General features: G+C 35.8%; 1 protein-coding gene across 20 annotated transcripts in view, besides 2 other annotated features; it reads left to right on the top strand.

Annotated features, from left to right (window-relative positions):
* The window catches only part of ATP11C (ATPase phospholipid transporting 11C (ATP11C blood group)), a 210,556-nt gene extending 193,082 nt beyond the window's left edge, over positions 1–17,474 (top strand). For 9 of the 20 annotated variants that reach the window (XM_047442016.1, XM_047442021.1, XM_017029449.2 and 6 more), the window contains 4 exons: positions 198–263; positions 2,728–2,831; positions 5,753–5,906; positions 12,067–12,170. In XM_047442016.1, coding sequence (XP_047297972.1) covers positions 198–263; positions 2,728–2,831; positions 5,753–5,906; positions 12,067–12,168 — 426 coding nt within the window. In that variant the 3' untranslated portion in view covers positions 12,169–12,170. Of the gene's footprint in view, positions 1–197; positions 264–2,727; positions 2,832–5,752; positions 5,907–6,025; positions 6,092–11,296; positions 11,388–12,066; positions 12,172–14,859 lie in introns of those variants that run through there. The other 11 variants (XM_047442018.1, XM_047442024.1, NM_001353810.2 and 8 more) reach the window with 5 other exon arrangements.
* Positions 4,918–5,212: a silencer, noted in NCBI's record as "tiled region #14619; HepG2 Repressive non-DNase unmatched - State 24:Quies". NCBI's record gives its function as "represses a minimal TATA promoter and a strong SV40 promoter by Sharpr-MPRA in HepG2 cells {active_cell/tissue: HepG2}" and the evidence as "EXISTENCE:reporter gene assay evidence [ECO:0000049][PMID:27701403]".
* Positions 17,956–18,005: a silencer, noted in NCBI's record as "silent region_21035". NCBI's record gives its function as "represses an Ori minimal core promoter by ATAC-STARR-seq in GM12878 lymphoblastoid cells {active_cell/tissue: GM12878}" and the evidence as "EXISTENCE:reporter gene assay evidence [ECO:0000049][PMID:35858748]".

Genomic DNA, 20,127 nt, shown 5'->3' with positions numbered 1-20,127 from the left:
CCTTTTTGTGAAAATTGGATCACAGGAAAATCTGGCATTGTGGCCTGATCTTACTGACTAGCTGTTTCCCTAAACAATTCATACAAAAATATTTGGCACTTACACACAGGATTCAACTTGGCTTTTTTTTTAAATGAAAAAATACTAAGATAATACTTGTATATACATGGTACATGTAATTATTAAATGTTTTTCAGGTATACGGAAACTGGACTTTTGGAACCATTGTTTTTACAGTCTTAGTATTCACTGTAACCCTGAAGGTTAGATTTTTACTTATTCATGTATTTTTTAATACTGTTTTTATAATACTTTCTTGTCTTATCCTAATATACCATTTTTTTGTCTCCTTTATTTCTTGTTATGGGTTGTTATTCAAGTGTTTGCCTTAATACTTACTAAAATGTGTATGATACTAGGGATTTGGGTATTTGTATACTATTTTTTGATCAGTTTTTTCCCCAGTATATCGTAATCCTCTTTATATTGTTTTACTTAAAAAAATTCAAACACCATACTTATGTCGAAAATCTGTTTCTTCTTTATTGCTGTTTTTAAGGCGTTATGATAAGTGGCATATAAACAGGCTGTGGGTGAGAGTGAGAGAGAGAGCGAGAGAGAGAGAGAGAGTGTGTGTGTGTGTGTGATTATGTTAAGTACTTGAATCTTCTAAAAATTATACTTCTGTTTAAGAACCCCAGGCCTAAAATAGGTATATATGAGCAAGATAATATGTGAAAAAGAGCTTGGTAGTAGTGAAATCTTATAAAATGTTTTCATCACTGATGGCCAGGTTGGTGGCTCATGCCTATAATCCCAGCACTTTGGGAGACCAAGGTGGGCAGATCGCTTGAGCCCAGGAGTTCAAGACCAGCCTGGGCAACATAGCAAGACCCTGTCTCTATTTTTATATATATATATATATATATATATATATATATATATTTTTTTTTTTTTAATTTAAAAATAAATATAAAAAAATAAAAATATATAAAATGTATTCATCATTAAAATTTACCCATGTTAGTGATAAAGTGCCTAAGAATATAATGCAGGTAAACAAAAGGGAGGTAATTTTGGCAAAATCATTGGCATTGACATGCAGCCATGTGATAATGCTGTGAAGCCTCACTGAATGCTACCCTTGAGGCCCATGATTTGGGAATCTCTTATAGTTGAAAGCATAATCAAATTATTTTTGTCATTCCAATAATAAACACCTCACATGGGTTCCATGAGTAAATACCTTTAAATGAATTCTGGCATGCCCAGGGGTTAGAAGCAGAATTCAGAAGTATAATTGTCAAAGGATCTCTCTTACCTTTCCCTCTAAATTTTTGTTCCTGGTTTATTTCTTATACCAGATAGAGCTAACATATGTTTGCTTTATTCATCTATTTCAGTAACATTTTAGGACCTTAAAAGGACATTACAATTCATCTCAGTATAGCCACTTACTAGCTGTGTGTCCTTCGGCAAGTAACTTTACCTCTCTGTGCCTCACTTTCCTCTTCTATAAAATCGAGATAGAAGTAGCACCTACCCTTTTTGAGGACTCAATTAGTGAATAAAGCACTTAGGAGGGTGCTCATTTCAATATATGCTAGTTTTCGGTTTTTATTATGTCTCACAGTATCACAATTTGAAATGGACGCCTCCCCCCTCCTTTTTTCCCCTGGCCTTGCATATAGCCACAGGGCTTCCAAATGGCCTTCACAGTGTTTTTCAAGTGTATCTCAAAGACTTCCACTCCCTCCTCTTTGGATTAATATTAGTATTATCTTTGGATTCATATTAGTATTTTCCTTAGCAACCAGAAGAATAGCAATTCAAGACTGAGCTACATTAATAATGTTATCAACATCCTGTTTATAAATGAGAAACTATAACAGAGAGCTGATGACCATGGTGTCACAGCAAGTAACAAAACTGAGACACCATCTCCTCTATAAAAATTAACTGCTCTGGATATTAGCTCATGTGACCCAGAAGTTTTAAGCAAGCGAAATAGTCCATACTTTTGTTTTTAGATCACATTTGAAAACCCCAGATACCACAATCTGAAAACATGATTGGTCCTGGCAGAAACATGAAGAGATTAAAATCTAACTGAATATTTTATTAATTTAATGGACTAGATACAGGTTTTGCAATTGGAAAGATACACTACATAGTCAAACCCATGATTCATTGCTACATGATGTTAGATGTATAGAGCCTTTGCATTTAGTGACTCCCGTCTGTTGTGTTTGAGCTTTCACGACACCTTTGAAAGTTTTGTAGTTTGTCTACCCTTCCTAGCTACCCCTTCCCTCTCCTACTTCTTTTCAGCTTATCTGCCCCCACCAGCTAGGTCTCCTTTTGCCATCATCTTCCTGGCTGCCATTGCCTGAGGACTTGGGGCTTGGGCCTCCTAGATATTACCATTACTTCATTCCTTGCCCATTCCCCAGTACTGAGATATCTGCAGCCCTACACCTACTAGCTACTTAGCCTGATCACACCTCCAGCCTGTACGCCAGTTTAGAGGCCTTAGGGCAGAGCTCAGCTTTCTCACCCTTGTTCTTTGAAAAACCTGGGTTCTGTTTAGTTCCCCTCTTCTCTGGATCCCTGGCCCAAGCTAGATCCTTTCATAGGTATCATTGTGTACTAGTTATCAGATACTATAGCGTATTGCCTGGTGCAATTCGTAACCGTCGTGAAATCTTTTGTGTTGTATCTTTTCAGCTTGCCTTGGATACCCGATTCTGGACGTGGATAAATCACTTTGTGATTTGGGGTTCTTTAGCCTTCTATGTATTTTTCTCATTCTTCTGGGGAGGAATTATTTGGTAAGCAATTGTACATGTGTGAGCAATATGTAAATAGCAAAGTAGATACATGTGTATGTACACTATATATGTAAGCATTCATTATACTTTAAAAATTTTAATTATATAAGATGACACGTCTTTAATATTAATGGCCTGAAGGTTATTTGTTAGCTGGTAGTGCTACTAATTTCAGGTAAGATTTTAAATACACATATATAGACTGCACAAGTCACTCAGAAGACCTCCCTTTGGTAGCTTCTGTCTGTTTGAAGGTGTTGTAAACATCTCTCTAGTGAAACTATAGTTTTCAGCACAACCTCTCGTGATTTTCAGAGGAAATACTCATCCTGTGAAGTTTCTACCTGATATATTGACCAACAGATACATTATTGTCCATTTGGACCCTTATTTTCTCTTGATAGTATATAACCATGATTCATGTTACTACAGGTGTGCTCAGGGTATAGGATATATACAACTTAATAATTCAGAGGGTTGTATTTTGAAATTGTCATCTTACTGTTTTGGTGGAGGAGGGAAGATGTAGAAAGGCAGACTCTGCAGCTTGTCTTTAAAGTTCATTTAGTTCATCTTGGTTCAGTAGATAGATGTTTGTTCAGAATCAGTTTTGTGCTTGAGACTCTATGGGTTAGAGAGATGACTAGACTGTACTCAAGGAGAATAGAGTCCAGTGAGGGACACATAAGCTGTGATTGGGAGAGTTATATATTTGCATCTCCTTTCTTTACTCCCAAAAACATATATTTTATTTTTAAATGTCAGAGTTGTTTTTTTTAGTGAATGGCTTCCCCTGACAAGGATGCCAGCAGCAGAGAGCATGGCTAGAGCAAGCCATAGTGTAAGATTTCAGGAGTACATATTTTCATTGCTTTGAGCAAAATCTTACATACAAAATGATTCTATTTTATCACAGAGATGTGAGGCTTATGTTTATGTCCCTTGAGTCTTAATTAGAAGAAACTCTATTTTGAAAAGCTTTTTAAAAATAAAAACCTTAAGAAATAAAAATATGAGAAACCTAATCATTTAAGGAAGTACCAGCTTTAAAAAGTATAATTACAGCATATATTTGGTACCTCTATAGGTAATTGAGAGCAATGAAGCTGGAAGAAGTCTCTATTTTCTTTAATAATATAACAAATAATTCAAAGTTGATTAAGAACATACCATATACAATTGTATGTCTGCCCAGAGTACCATAATTCTATGAATCTATGTAATCAGCATCTGAACTAATTATGCAAAATTTCTACAAAAATAAAATGTTTCCAGCGAACTCATTTCCAACCCTTTCTACAGACTATTCCTTATTGATGAAAATAAATCCAGTAAATGATTATGGTATTGTCACACCTGTTTATTCATTAGTGCTACTAAAAATGAAATGTTAATCTATTTTTTATTTTATTGCCTGAAGTATTATCATTAAGTAGAGTTGAGCCACTGCATGAATATAAACTTATAAAGCAACCAGTAAAATGTGACTAGAAACAATGTGAAACTTCAGCTGAATGTGGTCACAACTGATGTCTCTAGACATGTTTTACCCTGAGGCATTGAGTCACACCCGTCTTTGGGGTTGGGTAGTGAGAATGATGACTTCCGAGCCCCAAACCACATCCAGAAATAATAGTGTTTATTTTTTACTGCCCTACTACAAAACTCCATAGATGACATGGAGGTTAAAAAAAAAAAACAAAAAACAACTGGATGCATTAGTCAGAAGGTATGATGCCAAGGAACACTCTGTGACTAGCTGCCATTTGTCATCTGGGCCCCTGTTATGGCTCAGTTAACTGCCTAGAACATTATTCAAGGTGTTCTTCAGAATTTGAGTGAGGTAGAGTTCTGCAGAAGTCTTTTCCATGTGGCAGACTTTTCCCAGAAAGCCTGTGTAGCCTAGGCCTCATAAATTTTTCTACCTTCCTGTTCTCACTTTTATTCCACAATCTAATTTTCATAAAAGTAGAGCCACAAACTCAGTTTTATCATGTTACATAAGGGTGCATAGACATTAATTTTTAAATGAGAAACCAAATTATCTTCAGGAAGCATGATGTGTCATCTAATAAACAGGAGCCATGGTTATCTACCTGGAGCTCTTTAATCCTAGGGCAGTCTGATGTGCATCCTGTCTTTAAGCAACCACTTCTTCCCCCTCACCTTCAAAGAACAATAGCTTCACCTACTGAGGCTCTCTGTGGTTCAGCTCAGACAGAAGGGAAGGGAAACAGGCTGTGCTTCTCAATGGCCACTTTACAATGAAGTGGATGACTCAGAATGAAATCTAACTCCAGAATGGGGGTTCCTGCTGGATTTCTGGATTCTAAGGCTTAATGTCCAATTAGCAATATTCTACTCTGTGTCAACCTATTTGGCACATACTGTTAATATATATTTGTGGATGACAATGGTAGATTCCTTCCATTTGAGAGAGATGATAAGCTTCTACTGTCCTTTTTATATTTACATAGTGTTTTTATTGGGAGAGAGTTATAAAAATGTCTTTTGAATTTCTGAATACAGAACACAAATCCATCCCCATCTTAATAAAACAGCTGAGGAAATAAAATGCTTGTTAGGATAAAAATGAACCATTTCTCTTGAATATCTTTTAAGCACCAGCATTTTCTAATGCACATAAATAGTCGCCAGTTGGCAGCTTTAGAATTGATTGCCTGATTGTCTTCAAGTCAAATGCATTTTATCTTTTTTCTCCTTTGATTATCATTCCTTTTTTTCCAAACATTTGGTAAATGAAATTTGTTTATTACTTTGGGATATTCTAGAGAAAATTATTTTTATTAATGTATGTAAGGAAGATTCTTTTTAAATACAAACGACATTTTAATTAAATGTCCATTTCATATGACAGGAATTGATTTGTTTTTCCATCATGTATTTTCTTTCCACTGCAGGCCTTTTCTCAAGCAACAGAGAATGTATTTTGTATTTGCCCAAATGCTGTCTTCTGTATCCACATGGTTGGCTATAATTCTTCTAATATTTATCAGCCTGTTCCCTGAGATTCTTCTGATAGTATTAAAGAATGTAAGAAGAAGAAGTGCCAGGGTAAGAACTAAGTTTATCTTACAACCTGATTTTTGGAAGGGGCCTCAATATCTGCCATGAGCTAAAAACCTGATTTAGAAAATTACATTAGTTACAGCATGTTAAACCCCTCCTTACAGGTTCATCACTTAATTTCCTCTTCTGCATAAAAAGTATAGTAAAAACTTCGTTATCCAATGCAGGTGGTAAGTAGATTCCTTAATAGTGTTCTATGTGACCTTCGGCAATCCATATGGAGTATCTCATATGCTCCATATGGAATTTTAAAAGGAAAAAATTATTTTATTTTGTATTTAGCCTAGAATTTTCACACCAGGAATTTCCACACCAACATTTTCGCTTTAAACTTAGAAATTTCCCTGTGGGCTGTTTGCAGATTTTTTTCAGTTGATAATACCAATTTGCCTCTTTCAAACCTTTCCCCTTCCTTTAATTATAGTGCTGCTTAATCTCTGCGTTGCTTCTAGCCCTGTCTGTCCAGCAGTATATTTGAACCAAAGAGAATTCCCTGGATGTGGTTTTGACATCCTTAGCCTCTGGAACACACTCGTAAAAATTCAAGATAGTTTTATGAGTGTGTTTTTATTTTTCCTATTAAATTGTAAATTTCCTGTGGGAATGAGAAGTTATTTTTTCTGCTGCCTCATTATGATATCTTTTAAACATTTTTTAAAAAGCCTTTAAAGCGAAATAGGGAGATGAGCATGGAAAATAAAACTTTTGGCAGATTTTGACCAACAGGCTAATTAAATATGTCATATTCCTGCCAACAGTAGCTGATTTTATTAAACAAAACTGTTTCTGTCATATTGACACCAACTAGATCTTGTAGCACCTCCAAGGCAGTATTTTCAGGTAATATTCTAAGCTATGACTACCTGACTTATTTGATAAATTTGTCAACCAGTTTAGCCACAAAACTGTTACATCATGATTTTGTTTTTGCCTGTTGAATTGATAGAATCCAGTAGTTGATATTACATAGACATGGGGATCTGAAATGATTAGAGTAGGAAAACCTTCAGTGATTAGAATTGTAAAAGAGGAGATTCATGTCGCAAGTCAGTGTCAGCCCCAATCAAAAACAAGAGAACTGTCATAGGGTACATTGATTCTTCATATACAAGGCCAGTCAGTGTGTAATTAGGTGGCCAGAATTGCCCTTAACTCCCTGCTTTCTACATGTCTTATGGGCTGAAACTGAACACAGTAATGTTAGCTTAGTTACAACTGCTTTACTCTAGTCTGGTGTTTTAGGATGGAAAAGTTGCATTCAAATACCTGATTATGTCTTAATATCGGTTGAACAGGGATAAAACAGTTTGATACAACAGACTCCACCCAGAATGTCTCAAGTGGCAATTTGCATGAAACCAAATAAAATAATGTTGCAATAAGAAATGATTTGGGGCTTTTTATAATAGAGAATTTTCCAGGGAAAGATTTCCAAGTTGCTCTTCCATCCTTATTTGGGAGTATACTTTGGAATGATCCTAAATGTGTCTCTTATTTGAGGTAATGGAGCTCATTTTAAATAATGACTCACACCCAGCTACATGGTCTAAAGATGATAGAAAAATCTCAGAAAACAAAACTTTCAAACATGTCATCTTATCTTCTTCCTTATTAGGCCCTCTCAAAAAAGTTAGACATTGGCTGGAGGTGACTGTTACATAGACCATTAAATTGTGGGATGCTACTAAGCAGTCACAGATAAAGACTTAGAACATTTTTTTTTTTCACACGAACAGATTCTGAACTTCTGTTGAAAGTACGGAGTTCTGGGACTGCGTCCTTTTTTACTTAGCAGCATAGACTGTTGCCAGGGGTTTAGCATGAAATTTGTTATGGGTTATGTCCAGCGTAGGAAGAATTCTAGTGTCTGTGCTATGGCTTGGCATGCTGATATGCTAGAACAACCAGGAAAATTTCCATAATCATTTTCATTCATGCAATCATTCATTCATTTATTCCTACCCTTGTTGAACCAATAAACATTTGTTGAACCACCTACTGATGAACATCTCTCTTTACATCCAATGTCTGAAAGGCTAGATGGTTTTTCAGACTCTGGGATTTCAGGAGTCGCAAATGAGGCAAAATGTTGTGGGCACTCAGCAGTGCTGCCTCTTTTTTTTTTTTCTTATGAGAAAATGCAAGAGCAAAGTAGTGCAATATGAATGCATAGAGGCCTACTGCAACATGGCAGCCATGGCTATTCTGATAAATCACATCTGTTTATATAAGGCCCTATTTGGCTATATCAAAGAGGTGGAGGCCAACTTCTAAGATAAGGGAGAAAGAGTATGTTATTTTCCCCCAAATATTTTAGTCTTTATGCTCAGTGACCAACAGTCTGACACTCTGTGTGATTTCCTACTTTGTTCTGTATTCCTTGCTAAGACATTGGCCTCATTTTAAAGAGAGGCAAAAGATACTGGGTCTGCCCCATATCCTGATAGATCCCCCGATGTGGTCAAATGTGTGTCTCTACCTAGAGTAGAAGAATCCCTGACTTCAACCAATAAGTATCGTGGACACTTTATGTACACAGCCAGAAATGTGGCAGGTCAGCTGCCAGTGCTGTTCTTATGTGGGTCTTGGCAGCTGCTTTGAGAAGGGGACTTAGCAGTGTGTAGTGAAAATGTCTCTATGGCATTTGAGAAAGAAGCTAAGCTATTTATATTTAACAATTATAAGAGCAACCTTATGCTGAATTCTGTTCAATTCAGCATACCTTGCCTGAGGGCCCACTATGAGTTAGCTACTGTACTAGGTGTTGGTAATTCAGGGATGAATCAGATGTGGCCCTAGCTCACAAGCAGCTCTCACTCTGGTTATAAGGAGCATTCATATGGAATACTTCTGTAAGCAGGTATTAAACAGAATAGCAGAATCAGTGATGTGGCTTGTTTTAACACAATTGAGCTATTTCAAGTCACTACCTCCTGAAACCTCCAGTAAAATCGCTAGTATGGCAGCCTCCACTGCAACTGAGTTCTGTCATAATGCTAGTATTAGAAAGAATTCCAGTATCTTCAAATGTAGGTTCTCTCAGTTGTTTAACTCAAGGGTTGTAGTTAAGCCATGTATCCATCAGCTGTATTTTTAGCAATGAGGTTAATTTTTTTCCCCAAAGTTCCGTTATTAAGGATCCTAGAGCTTTTCTTTAGCTTTATGAAGTGACAAAGCTGCATAGCAATGCTGTTGAGGGTATATGATGAAACTACCATTGAGCACTGAACAGTGAAACAGCAGGATAACACCTCAAGGAAAGGTCAAGTATAGGATTTTTGTATTTCAAAAAGTTGTGTCCCCCCTAAGCACAGTCATTGGCTGTCTGTAAATCAATGAAATATATCTGGAGTTTCTGGCCAAGTAGCAAATACCATTTCACATTTCCAATGGAGAAATTTCCACATATCCTGTGTGAAGTTTTCTCATGTAAGTCACCACAATCAAAAAGGAGGCTTAACTTCGCTGAAGCTTGACAAAGGAAGACTATAATTTAATGGGAATGCACCCAGCAACATGGCCGTGCTTAGCATGGGATGTCAGCACAAACAGGAAGAAATATTCCATTATGTAGAGAACTCTTTCAGAGTGGTAGACAGGGAAGGGAAGAATGTCAACTGTCTGAGCCAAAGTCCCAGAGAAAGCATTTTGGAAATTTTGGAGAATATAGTTAATCATTATAATAATGATGATTACTATTATGATTCTTACAGTGTCATATACAACCATGGGTTCACAGGGCAATAGCCCTGTTAGCTGGATTAGACAAAAATAAAGTTTAATCCTAATGTCGTGGCTGTTGAGATGGGCCTTTATCCATTGGCCTCTTTGACATACTGCTAATTGAGCTGGTGTCAAAGCTCTCTAGATGACTGCAAAGGAATGTGGAAATTTCATTCTGTTTTAGCTCATTATCTCCTGTTTACCCCACCCCACTGCCGGTTGCTAGCTATATCAATTTTTTTATTGCTTTAGTTACTCTTTCCATGCTTTCTCCTGCTTTCTGTACTTTCATTTCCTTTATAAAGTAGTTTTAACACCTAATCTATTAACTCCTAATATTTCTGCTTCATAGAAATACTTTTATCTCCGATGGTTGGATACAAGTGTTTGAGCACACCAAAACGTGCTTACAGTTGCAGTCTTGAATAGATAGGTTTGTGCATTAAACACGGGGGTGGGGAACTTGGTATCATGCTGATCTTGTCGCAGGGTTTTTGCCCATAAAATAGAAGATAGAAACAATTAAAATCTTTTTCTCAGAATCTAAATATTCTCTAGCTTTATCAATTGGTAATTTGCATTCTATCAATATGTCTATCAACTTTCTTCATTCCACCAACTTTCTTCATTTAAGGTAAAAACAAGAAAAAATGTAGTTGTCAAAACATGAATAAATTATTTACCTTTGAAAGTTTAATTGTTTATTAGAATCTTCTGGAAACAAATGTTACTTTAGCTGGTTTCTTTTTCTAAGCCCATTTTAGGTCACTAAGTAGACAATATGGGTAATCTTTATTAGCAGAGTTGTTCAAGTCATCCACATTGTTGACCACTCATCTTCTGTTTTGCTTGGGCAATGCCAAAACTGAGTCTGTAAATTACCTTATAATTTCAGGCACAGAATCAGAAGGAAAAAAATAACCTTAGGTTTGCCAGTTAAACTTTATCCATTTTCACTTTTCTGGGTGTTTTAAGGGGAAAAAAAATAATACCTTACCCAGGTAAAATTTAGCCTATCTTTCTAAAGAGGACTCTGTAGGAAAAACAGGGAAACCAATCAAATTAGGTTGTAAGAAAGGAAGTTAAGCATTGGTCAGAGGCAAATGGGACTGAAATGTGGTATCACCAAATGTTTTCCCATTGTTATTTTTGATTAAGTTTTTATCCTGCAACTGCTTAAGAGCAGTCAGTCCCTTCATAGTGTATCTGTACAGTTGCATAGGGGAGATAATTACTTCAAGATAGATTGGTGATTGGCAATGGACCCTGGACATAACTCTTTGACCAATGGATTTTGAACAAATGTAGGATAGTGAATTAATGATTAGAGATAAGTCTTATTTTAACGAGAAGCATATTTTAAAGCTATTTTATTTAAAATAGTCAATTTTCCCATTAACAAAATAATTTCAAATTGATATGTAGAGAAATAGTAGTTGGCACGTAATAATAGACTATTCCTATCTCTGACTCTGCTTTTACTTCAGAAAATAATGTCTTCAAAACTAACATATCATTTCGGCTTCGAATTCTCAAGTTTTCTTTTTAAATGTCTTACATTTGAGAGATTATTTACTTTTTTTTTTTTTTTGGTTTCTGCATTTCTCTTTTTTCTACTGCAATTTTCCACCTTTTGTGCAATTGTGAACAAGGTAACGAAACGCCTCCCTTCCTCAGGAACATCTGCTATCTTCATGCTTTCTCAAACTTCCAGCAATCACAGTTTCTCTTGGAGTGAATAAGGTGATTTCCTTTCTTAATGTACCAACTTGCTTGCATTCTCATTTGCCTGACACCATTTTCTAATTCTTTATGAAAAATTACTTCTCATGACTCATTTTATATCTTCTATTGATGCTTAGAGTATTTTGTCATTTTCTTTTAATCATGTGTTCACCTTCCAAATTGTCACACTGGAGAGGAAGTAATTTTTAAAAGCTTGGACTACGGGTCTGTAGTCTTCATTGATCCACGGTATGCAGTGGCCATGGCGTGTTAGAGCTAGTCTGTTCACCAGGACAGGAATGTTTTGCACAAATTTCTCTTTGTTTGATAATACGGCACCGGCACAACTCTCAGAGGTGTTCACCAAAAGGATGGTAAGGTTTACTAATCAAACCATATTGACTCATCTTACCATATTACTTACCAGTGCCATTCCAAAAACCCAAGTTTACTACATACTACTGTTGTCTGTTTACTTCTACCACAAAAACAATTCGAGTTGGAGACTTTCTTAGGCCTTTGAATGTATTCATTTGAATGTTATACATTTACTATATAGTGTAATCATTTGTACTTTTGGCCAGAGGAGTAGTCTATAGGAAATGATTTTTTTCTTTTACCTTTTTTTAAATATATAATCACCAGGTAGGTTAACCAATTTTCAAATGCTTTAAGTATCTTTGCCTCACTATTACAGAGAAATCTGAGCTGTAGAAGGGCATCTGACTCATTATCCGCCAGACCTTCAGTCAGACCTCTTCTTTTACGAACATTCTCAGACGAATCTAATGTATTGTAACAGGTACCTAGTGTTAAACAAATGGGCTGGCTTTAAAAAATCGGATTAACAGCATTATAAAGAAAAAATGAAAATATCACTCTCTAAATTTTCTCTGCTGTTGGTGTGGTGAACTTTACAATATTCTTTGCAAAAATATAAAGATGCATTACTTGGAATATGGGGAAATATGCATTTAAAATATTAAACATTAAAATATGATAAGCCCCCCAAATAAAATGTTAAACATTTTTCAGAGCCAAATGTTGATACAGCATATTTAATTTGTAAGGGGCAAGTTGTCATGGCAAGGCCACCATGTGAAAATGTTTGTTAATATTGATCAGGAAATATAACTTTGATTTATAAAGATCATTTGGAAAACTAAAAGTAAATATTCCAAAATTGCATCTGTATAATATCAAGCCAATTTAGCATTGCATGTTCTCTTGGGAATTATGTGAAAATAACTAAATGTGTTTGTACCTTCATGTGCTGTGTCTGTGTGTTTGCAGGTACTGTATACACTTATGTCCTTGTAAATGTCTGATCTCCAAATATATATCAATGAACCAGTCTAATCATAACTTTTTTAATGTCAAGTTTTATTCAAGCTAAATGTTTCAACTTTCAGAGGTAAAATATTTCATAGCCATTCAGGGGGATGCTTGCCTAATGATATAAAATGCTTTATAATTAATGTTTCCAAAAATGATTAAATTCACTTTATAATGTTTCATTTACCCCCAAAAATATTTGGGAGGAATTGATACGCCGTGGGAGGGCCCCTTGAACTCAGAATGACTCCTTTATGTATAGTCTGTATTTCCTTCAGTGGGGGCCTTTAACAACTCAGACCTCTGGAGGTCTTTTATCCATCCATAGGAATTTAGAGTAATTAATGAACAAGGCTTCCAAGCTTGTCAGCTTGGAAACAACTCTACACAGCTTAAAGCAGGGCCATCTTTCATGCACACATAAAAATTAATGATCATCATGAATACAATTGTGGGTTAGTTCACTTTGAAGCTAATAATTGCGAGTCCACCTTATAGGCCCATTTTTTTCAACAGCTGTCAACTCTGCCACCCTCTAGCAAAGAATACAAGTTAAATTAATGGATTGACTCCATTGGTTCTTCTGTCTTCCTGGAGTTCATCGCAGTCTACATCTGCACTGTTATTTTAGAAGCAGACTCATTTTGCCACAGTTAGCATCTTTTTACCCATTTTTGAACAACTTACCTGAGTATGTTTTCCCTTAGTAATGAATCTGCTTCACAAGTAACCTTCAAGGTCTTTGACCCCTTTGTCCCAGATTGCCTCGTTCTAAGCTGTGTGATGCATTTTAGCTATATTGTTTCTGGCTAATTTTGTATCCCCCTGGATTGCTCTCTTTAGCTTGGTCTGTGGTTTGGGGGACTGGGCTGGATAGAAGACACTGCTGTTGCTTTTGGCCTCTCCAGGGCCTTATCTCCTACAATGTCTAACATAGAACTGAGGAAGTATTTTTTAAAAACAATTGTCTTATTTTTAATGTAGTTATTTCTTCCAGGAATAGATTTTCATGTGGCATTATTTCTCCTCCAAAGACAATAATTAGCAGCTAGTTTAGGCATCTAGTTTGTTCCTTGGTTGGTAAGGAAACTACCTAACTCCTCAATGTGAGTTACATTCTCAGTATGAATGGCAACCTTATTTTGGTTAGAGTCACCATGACCCTGCAGAGCTACCTGAAAACCTACTAGTGGTTCTGGAGAATGTGGAACATAAATAGAAATGGAAGGTATTCTAATGAGCTTCTAGTCCAGCCATGGCAAAGGAGGTGTCCCAGAATGGGAAGAAAATAGCATACTACTTAAGACCTTCCACTACTCAGGTTCAAAAAGATTGAGTTTTAGAGTGGAGAATCAGGCTCCCTGTTTTGACATATGACTTCCATTTCTTAACATACTTGACTTACACTTAATGATCAGTTTGTCTGTCATGCACCATCCTGATCATAGCATTTGATGATGTTTAGAGGACAGAGAAGAATCTACAGATTTGATAGGGAAATATCCGTGGTTTCTCTTCCAAAAAGATGAAGCATAAGAAAAAACAGAAGAATCAATCGACTCATAGATACATGATCTACCAAAAGGAAAATTAACTTCCATATTGTAGGGGGGAAATATGCTTCTTTCAGTAAAAAGGAAGAATATTTTCACAATAATCTTCCAAAGCTGAATATATCTTCAGACTTCCTCTGTCAAAATTAACACATCAAGAAAAACAGCAATCTAATCATTCATCAAACATTTCCTGAGTATCTGCTGTGTGCCAGACACTATTACTAGCTGCTGGAGATAGAAGGTAAATAAAATGTTCCTGTTTTCAAGGACCTCCCAGCCTAGAGGAGAAGGGATCACAGCAAGCTAAACCTCTGCTATGGTAAATAATCCCAGAGGTAGAAAGTATTAGGAGAACCCTGGAACAATCCAAAAGCAAAAAGCAAGCCTGAATCTATTCAGCTGACAAATGAAGAAAGGATTAAAATCTGGTTATAGTGTCACTCTTTTTTTCCCCTGCATGTGAATAAAACTTGGCACTTTGTTAAGACAGTTGCTTTACTCTCATAACAAAATTTACTACTTATTTCTGAAAATGCTTAACAGATGGTTTCACATTATTAAAATAAGCCTTTTAAATCTGTATATTTTACATTTTTCAGAATCCGAATCTTGAACTGCCTATGTTATTGTCCTACAAGCATACTGACAGTGGTTACAGCTAAAAAAGAAAGCATGAAGAAACAACTACAAAAAGTTATCATCTCAGGATACTTGATACGCAACACACTAAACCACTCTCATGTCTAGAGTTCACAATAAATGTTCATTAAAATACCAAATGATTCTCTTAAGCATTTACCATTATTGTAAGTAGCCTTTATGGCCAAAGCTGTAAGTTAAGAATTATATGAAAGTTGAAAGCAAGAATACTTAGAATTCTGGCTTTAGTTAGAGTAATATAACTCAAATGGGTGCTCTTTTAACCCATGAACTTTGTGAATGGATTTAAATACAATAGTATGAAGTAGAAGTTATGCAATGAGAATGAATAGATTTTGCTAATACTACTTTTTTTGCCTGGCAGAAGAAATAGACTATTTGGATCACATTTCTCATTCCTCCTAAATGATCATCTTAATTTTTTTTCCCAAGTACATAAGGAATACTTGAAAATACAGAATAACTAAATAGTATCAATGCATCAGACAGAATAGTTAATCCCTTCTGTTTACCCATGTGCTACTAATGTCTTGGTAGAATATTCTTGCCAAAAAAATACCTTGAACGCTTATGTGGAAAGTGTTAACTTACGGGTATTTTTGTGGGAATAGAAAAAAATTGTTTATTTTTTATTCTTCTGAATTAAACCCCACTTATGGGTGTAAGCCTACTAGACTTGAAAATAAAGTATAAAACATTTCCAATCACTTAGTAGCCCCTCAAAGTAGTTAGAAAATAAACAGATTTTTCCAGTGTTGATTTTACTGGGATCTGCAGTAAGGTGGTTTAAACCATAGTTATATAAAAATAAAGGTCATTCTGAATATCAGCCTTTTATAATTTTATGTGAAGAGGAAGAAATATAGCTTATTTTAAACTTTTGACGGTTTTTATTTGAAAGAGATTGCATTTATGCATATATGCAGTGCTTTTTCTTAAACTTGGCCAATTTGGAAAGGGGGAAGGAGCCACCCCAAAACGGTGGTTCAGCTTGTAGAGCCATGACTCTGTGAAGATGAATGTTGTCTCTTAACTTGGACAGGGAAATGGTCTAACTCTAAACCATGTAACTGACCTTAGTAAAGTCCTTGACTAACTGAACTAGAAGGAAGGTTTAGCCTTCTAATTAGTTCACTTGAAACATAAATGTGAAATGTCTTCATTCAATGTTAAACACATACTTTTTTGGATATAAATGACCATATTTATTTGACTGCTAGTTTTTTTGTTTTTTTTTTGTCTTTCTGGCATGCCTGTACTATTATTAATGTTTATATTGTACCTTGATTTGGAAAAGTATTGGAGTTAATCTGTATTATATTTATATAGTCCATATGGCACATTTGATTCTTCCACATATATTTTGTGTTAATGTTTAGGTATGATTTTTTTCTAAATTCTAGAAAAGAACATAATTTCAGTTATCAGAAGCCATTCCATCATTATAGACCCTTTTTCATTATTTCATTTGCTCTCATATATCAGTATTATTTTTGAGCATTTTGTTACATGTCATTCACAACTTACCTAAGTGTGCTGTGTTCTGGTAGCCCGTATTTGAGGTAAGCTGCTGAAAACAAAAGTCTCTATATTCTTTGCCTATTCCAAAGAGCTAAAAAAGTCTAACCCAGGAAAGCTTTTGATATTTTGTGTTTGTTTTCTTGTTCTTATGGTTGTTGTTGCTGTATTATGATTGCTGTTTTACATAAAATCTATGGGAACTGTGAATACAGACAAGAGAGCCACAGTAGAGAGGCTTGTTTAATGCAGTACCATTGGAGAGTTAACAGAATAATCTAGTAGAAAAATAACTGGTTGCATGTAAAATTCCTTCCAGCCAGAAAGAAAGAAAGACAAGGAGTAAGGGGGATTTAGAGTTATGTCTCAGCTACACATTACATTGTGATACTGCAGCTCAAATTCAGAATGGCAATGATACATGATATCATGGCCTAGATCCTTGAGAGGGACCTGGCTTTCCTTTTTAAAAGATATTTTACTGAAGAGCTAAAAACTGGCCAGTGTGGGGTTAGCAGATCGAATAACTTGAAATAGACCATGCAGTATTCCTAGCACTCAATGTAATCACCCTATTTGTGACAGAGAAAGGGAAAAAAATATAATAAGATCATCTACCTATAATTTGAATAATTTTGAGCTATCAAAATGTCTTTGTAATTTTCACAACCGCTGTCCATTGTTTGAGGATGTTACCTACTAAACTGAAAACATTCATTCCATATCTACTTACACATACACCAGCAACAGTATAAATGTAAGCCTAACTTTGCAAAATTCGTAATAATTTAGTGATGGAATTTTTTAATAACATGCAGTATATAAATGTGCAGATTTTATGCGTGTTGACAAAATCATTTTTCAGCTTGCAAAATGGGACTGCAATATTACATTTTTCACTTAAGCAGTTTTTTACATCTACGTTGTTGCTTTCTAAAATGAATGTGAATGCCATCTTTTATGACTGCAACTTGCCTTTTCCATTACAGAAATTTTTGTTTGATGTAATCAATAAACTTTGGTATGATATGATTGATATATCAGCCTCTTTTTTTTGGGAAAGGTCTCAGTTTGACATTAAAATAATATGGAAGCAATTTGTTGATGGGAACTAAGTTTCTAATTTCTTCTTGACCTGCACAATTGACAGAAGTTTGACCATTTCTACATGAGTTCAACTGGTATTTTATGGCAATACCTAATTTGGGGAGGGTAAGATATTTGTAGGAGTTTTTAATAACACTGTACCTTGTTACTGCATAGATAAAAGTCCAGCCAAATCAGTAAATACATATTGAAAGTCTACTTTGTGCTTGGCAGTGTGCTTGATGCCAGCCATGCATTGAAGGTAGCATATGTTTGGTCTTTGTGGTCTGTGTCTTCAACCCATTGAACTCATTTGATTCTTAAGCAGTCAAACATGAAGGGATTTTACAGTAGCTTGAAACTTGGTCCAAAGGTGTGTGTGTGTGTGCACACCACTTCCCCCACCTCTTCTTACATTGCTCAGCCTGCACCCAAGACCTTGTGAAAGTCCCTTTTCTTGAAAAACCTCACTGTCCTTGACTGCCAAGAAACCAGAGTTGCTCTACGGAAACTGGTTTCATTGCATTTCTACATTTCAGTCTCTATGTTTTGGTAGTCTTTTAATCCTGTTGGTCTTTGATCTATATTTAGTGTGTATTTTCTTCTTTTTCATTAAGTGGAAAATATGCGAAAACCTGAATTAAAGTATCAGCTTTGCCACATTTCTCTCTGAATCCTTTTTCTTTCTCACCTGTAAGATGGTGTGTGGCAGGGCAAATAAGGTAAAGAATGAAAATTGCTTTGTAAAATGTCATTTGCTATTCATATGTAGGCATTGTTACTTTTATGTTAAGGGTTTGTTATTGCTTAATTTTTTAATGAACAGTTGTCATTTACCACATTTTCATAGATGTCTTACGTTATTTTGGCTTATTGGAATCAGTCAGTTCAAGCTTCCTTCCCTTCCCCCATCCAGCCTTATGGGGCGCTCCCTCTTCGCCTCACTGCTTAGTCTGCCCACAGTTGGCCAATACAGTGAGTATTGTGAGGGTCCGAGTGATCTGGCCCCTTCAACAAGAAGCACAGGCAGAGGTTAAGGGCTGAGGTTATCACTATGGTTATTCAGTGAATGTGTCCATGGGCAAAGTGCTGGATGCATACTAATGAAGTCTGAAGGCCTGTGTTCTGAGAATAGTTATCAGGGGAAAAAAGTGGGCTTAATTATTTTGCAACTTTTAAAAAATTAATTTGACACAATTTTACCAACAACTGATGGGCGAGGAAACATGGGCTCAGTTCCTATTGCGTAGACCTATTGTGCTAAAGAAATGTTGCAGCGTGGATCAAGCAAGTCCTCATCTCATGGGCTTTGGGAGTAAGTGCTGAGGCCTGTGGCTGAGAGAAACAGTGCACTCATGGTGGGCCAGAATTCCTGCTGGCAGTGAGTCTTTGGCCTTGGCTCTTTGGGCAGGATTGAGCAAAAAGGATGTACATAACTAAAATACCTGCTGCTACTTTGGTCTCTTCAGCAGTTGCCAAAACCCAATTCCTCACATTAGCTAACACTTACACAGCACTTAATATGTGCCAGGAACTGTTCTAACCACTTTACACGTATTCATTCCTTTAGTAATTCCAGTAACCCTAGGAGATAGGTACTGATGTTTCTTCATCTGACAGATGAGGATACTGAGTCCCAAAAATACTCAAGGTTACACTGTCTGGTGGAGCCAGAGTTTGAATCCAGGTATTCCGATTAGAGTCTGTGAACTTAACTAGGACACTGTGTTTCTATTTTTATATCACCCCTGATGGCATGAATAAACAAATCATCAAAATGTTAGTATTAAACTTGAGAAAACAGACAAACCAAAATTGAAGGATATTCTGCACAATAACTGGCTTCAAAATTACAAAGATCATGAAAGAGCAAGACTGAGTAACTCTCCCAGATAAACAAAACAACTAAAACTTTATTGTGAAAACTAACCGTGGCATATGATCTTGGACCAGAAATTGAACATTAGTGGGATAATTAGTGAAGTTTGACTACAGTATCTAGGCTATATAACATTGTATAGGCAATATATCTATGTTTTCTGATAATTTGAAATTATGCTGTGATTATGATATATTTTGGGGAATCCAAGTGGGGGGTGTATGAAAATTCTTTGCACTATTTTTACAACTTTGAAATGGTTTCACAATTTTAAGAAAGCTAAAACAATGAAGCTTAAAAATATTAATGGGAAAACATTAAATTAAGCTGATACAGAAGACTAATTATCTAACATCTGCATAGCACTTTATGGACTGCTTTTGTATGTACCTTATTTAATTTTCACAATAGTCCTATGTAGAGATCATTAAACTCCAGATATTTAACATATCAACTGAGGCTCAGATAAGTTAATTATCTTGCTAGTCTCCCAGGACTGAACTCAGGTATGACCCATGTGTTTCCTGCTATACTACACTTTGCAGTTTGTCTGGGACTCTTAAAGCATTCCCCGTTGGATTCTAGAATGATCAAAAGGCAAGTGTTACTGCAGTCATTTTTGTGTGGGTCCATCAGATGCAGTCAGATACAACCATAGATAAAACCATTGATAAAGTCATGTCATTGCTCTTAGGGTTGAGGTGAGTGGCCTGAGAATGGCCCA

This window comes from Homo sapiens, chromosome X, assembly GCF_000001405.40.
Source record: "Homo sapiens chromosome X, GRCh38.p14 Primary Assembly".
NCBI lineage: Eukaryota > Metazoa > Chordata > Mammalia > Primates > Hominidae > Homo > Homo sapiens.
This window is presented reverse-complemented; position numbering and strand designations above follow the sequence as displayed.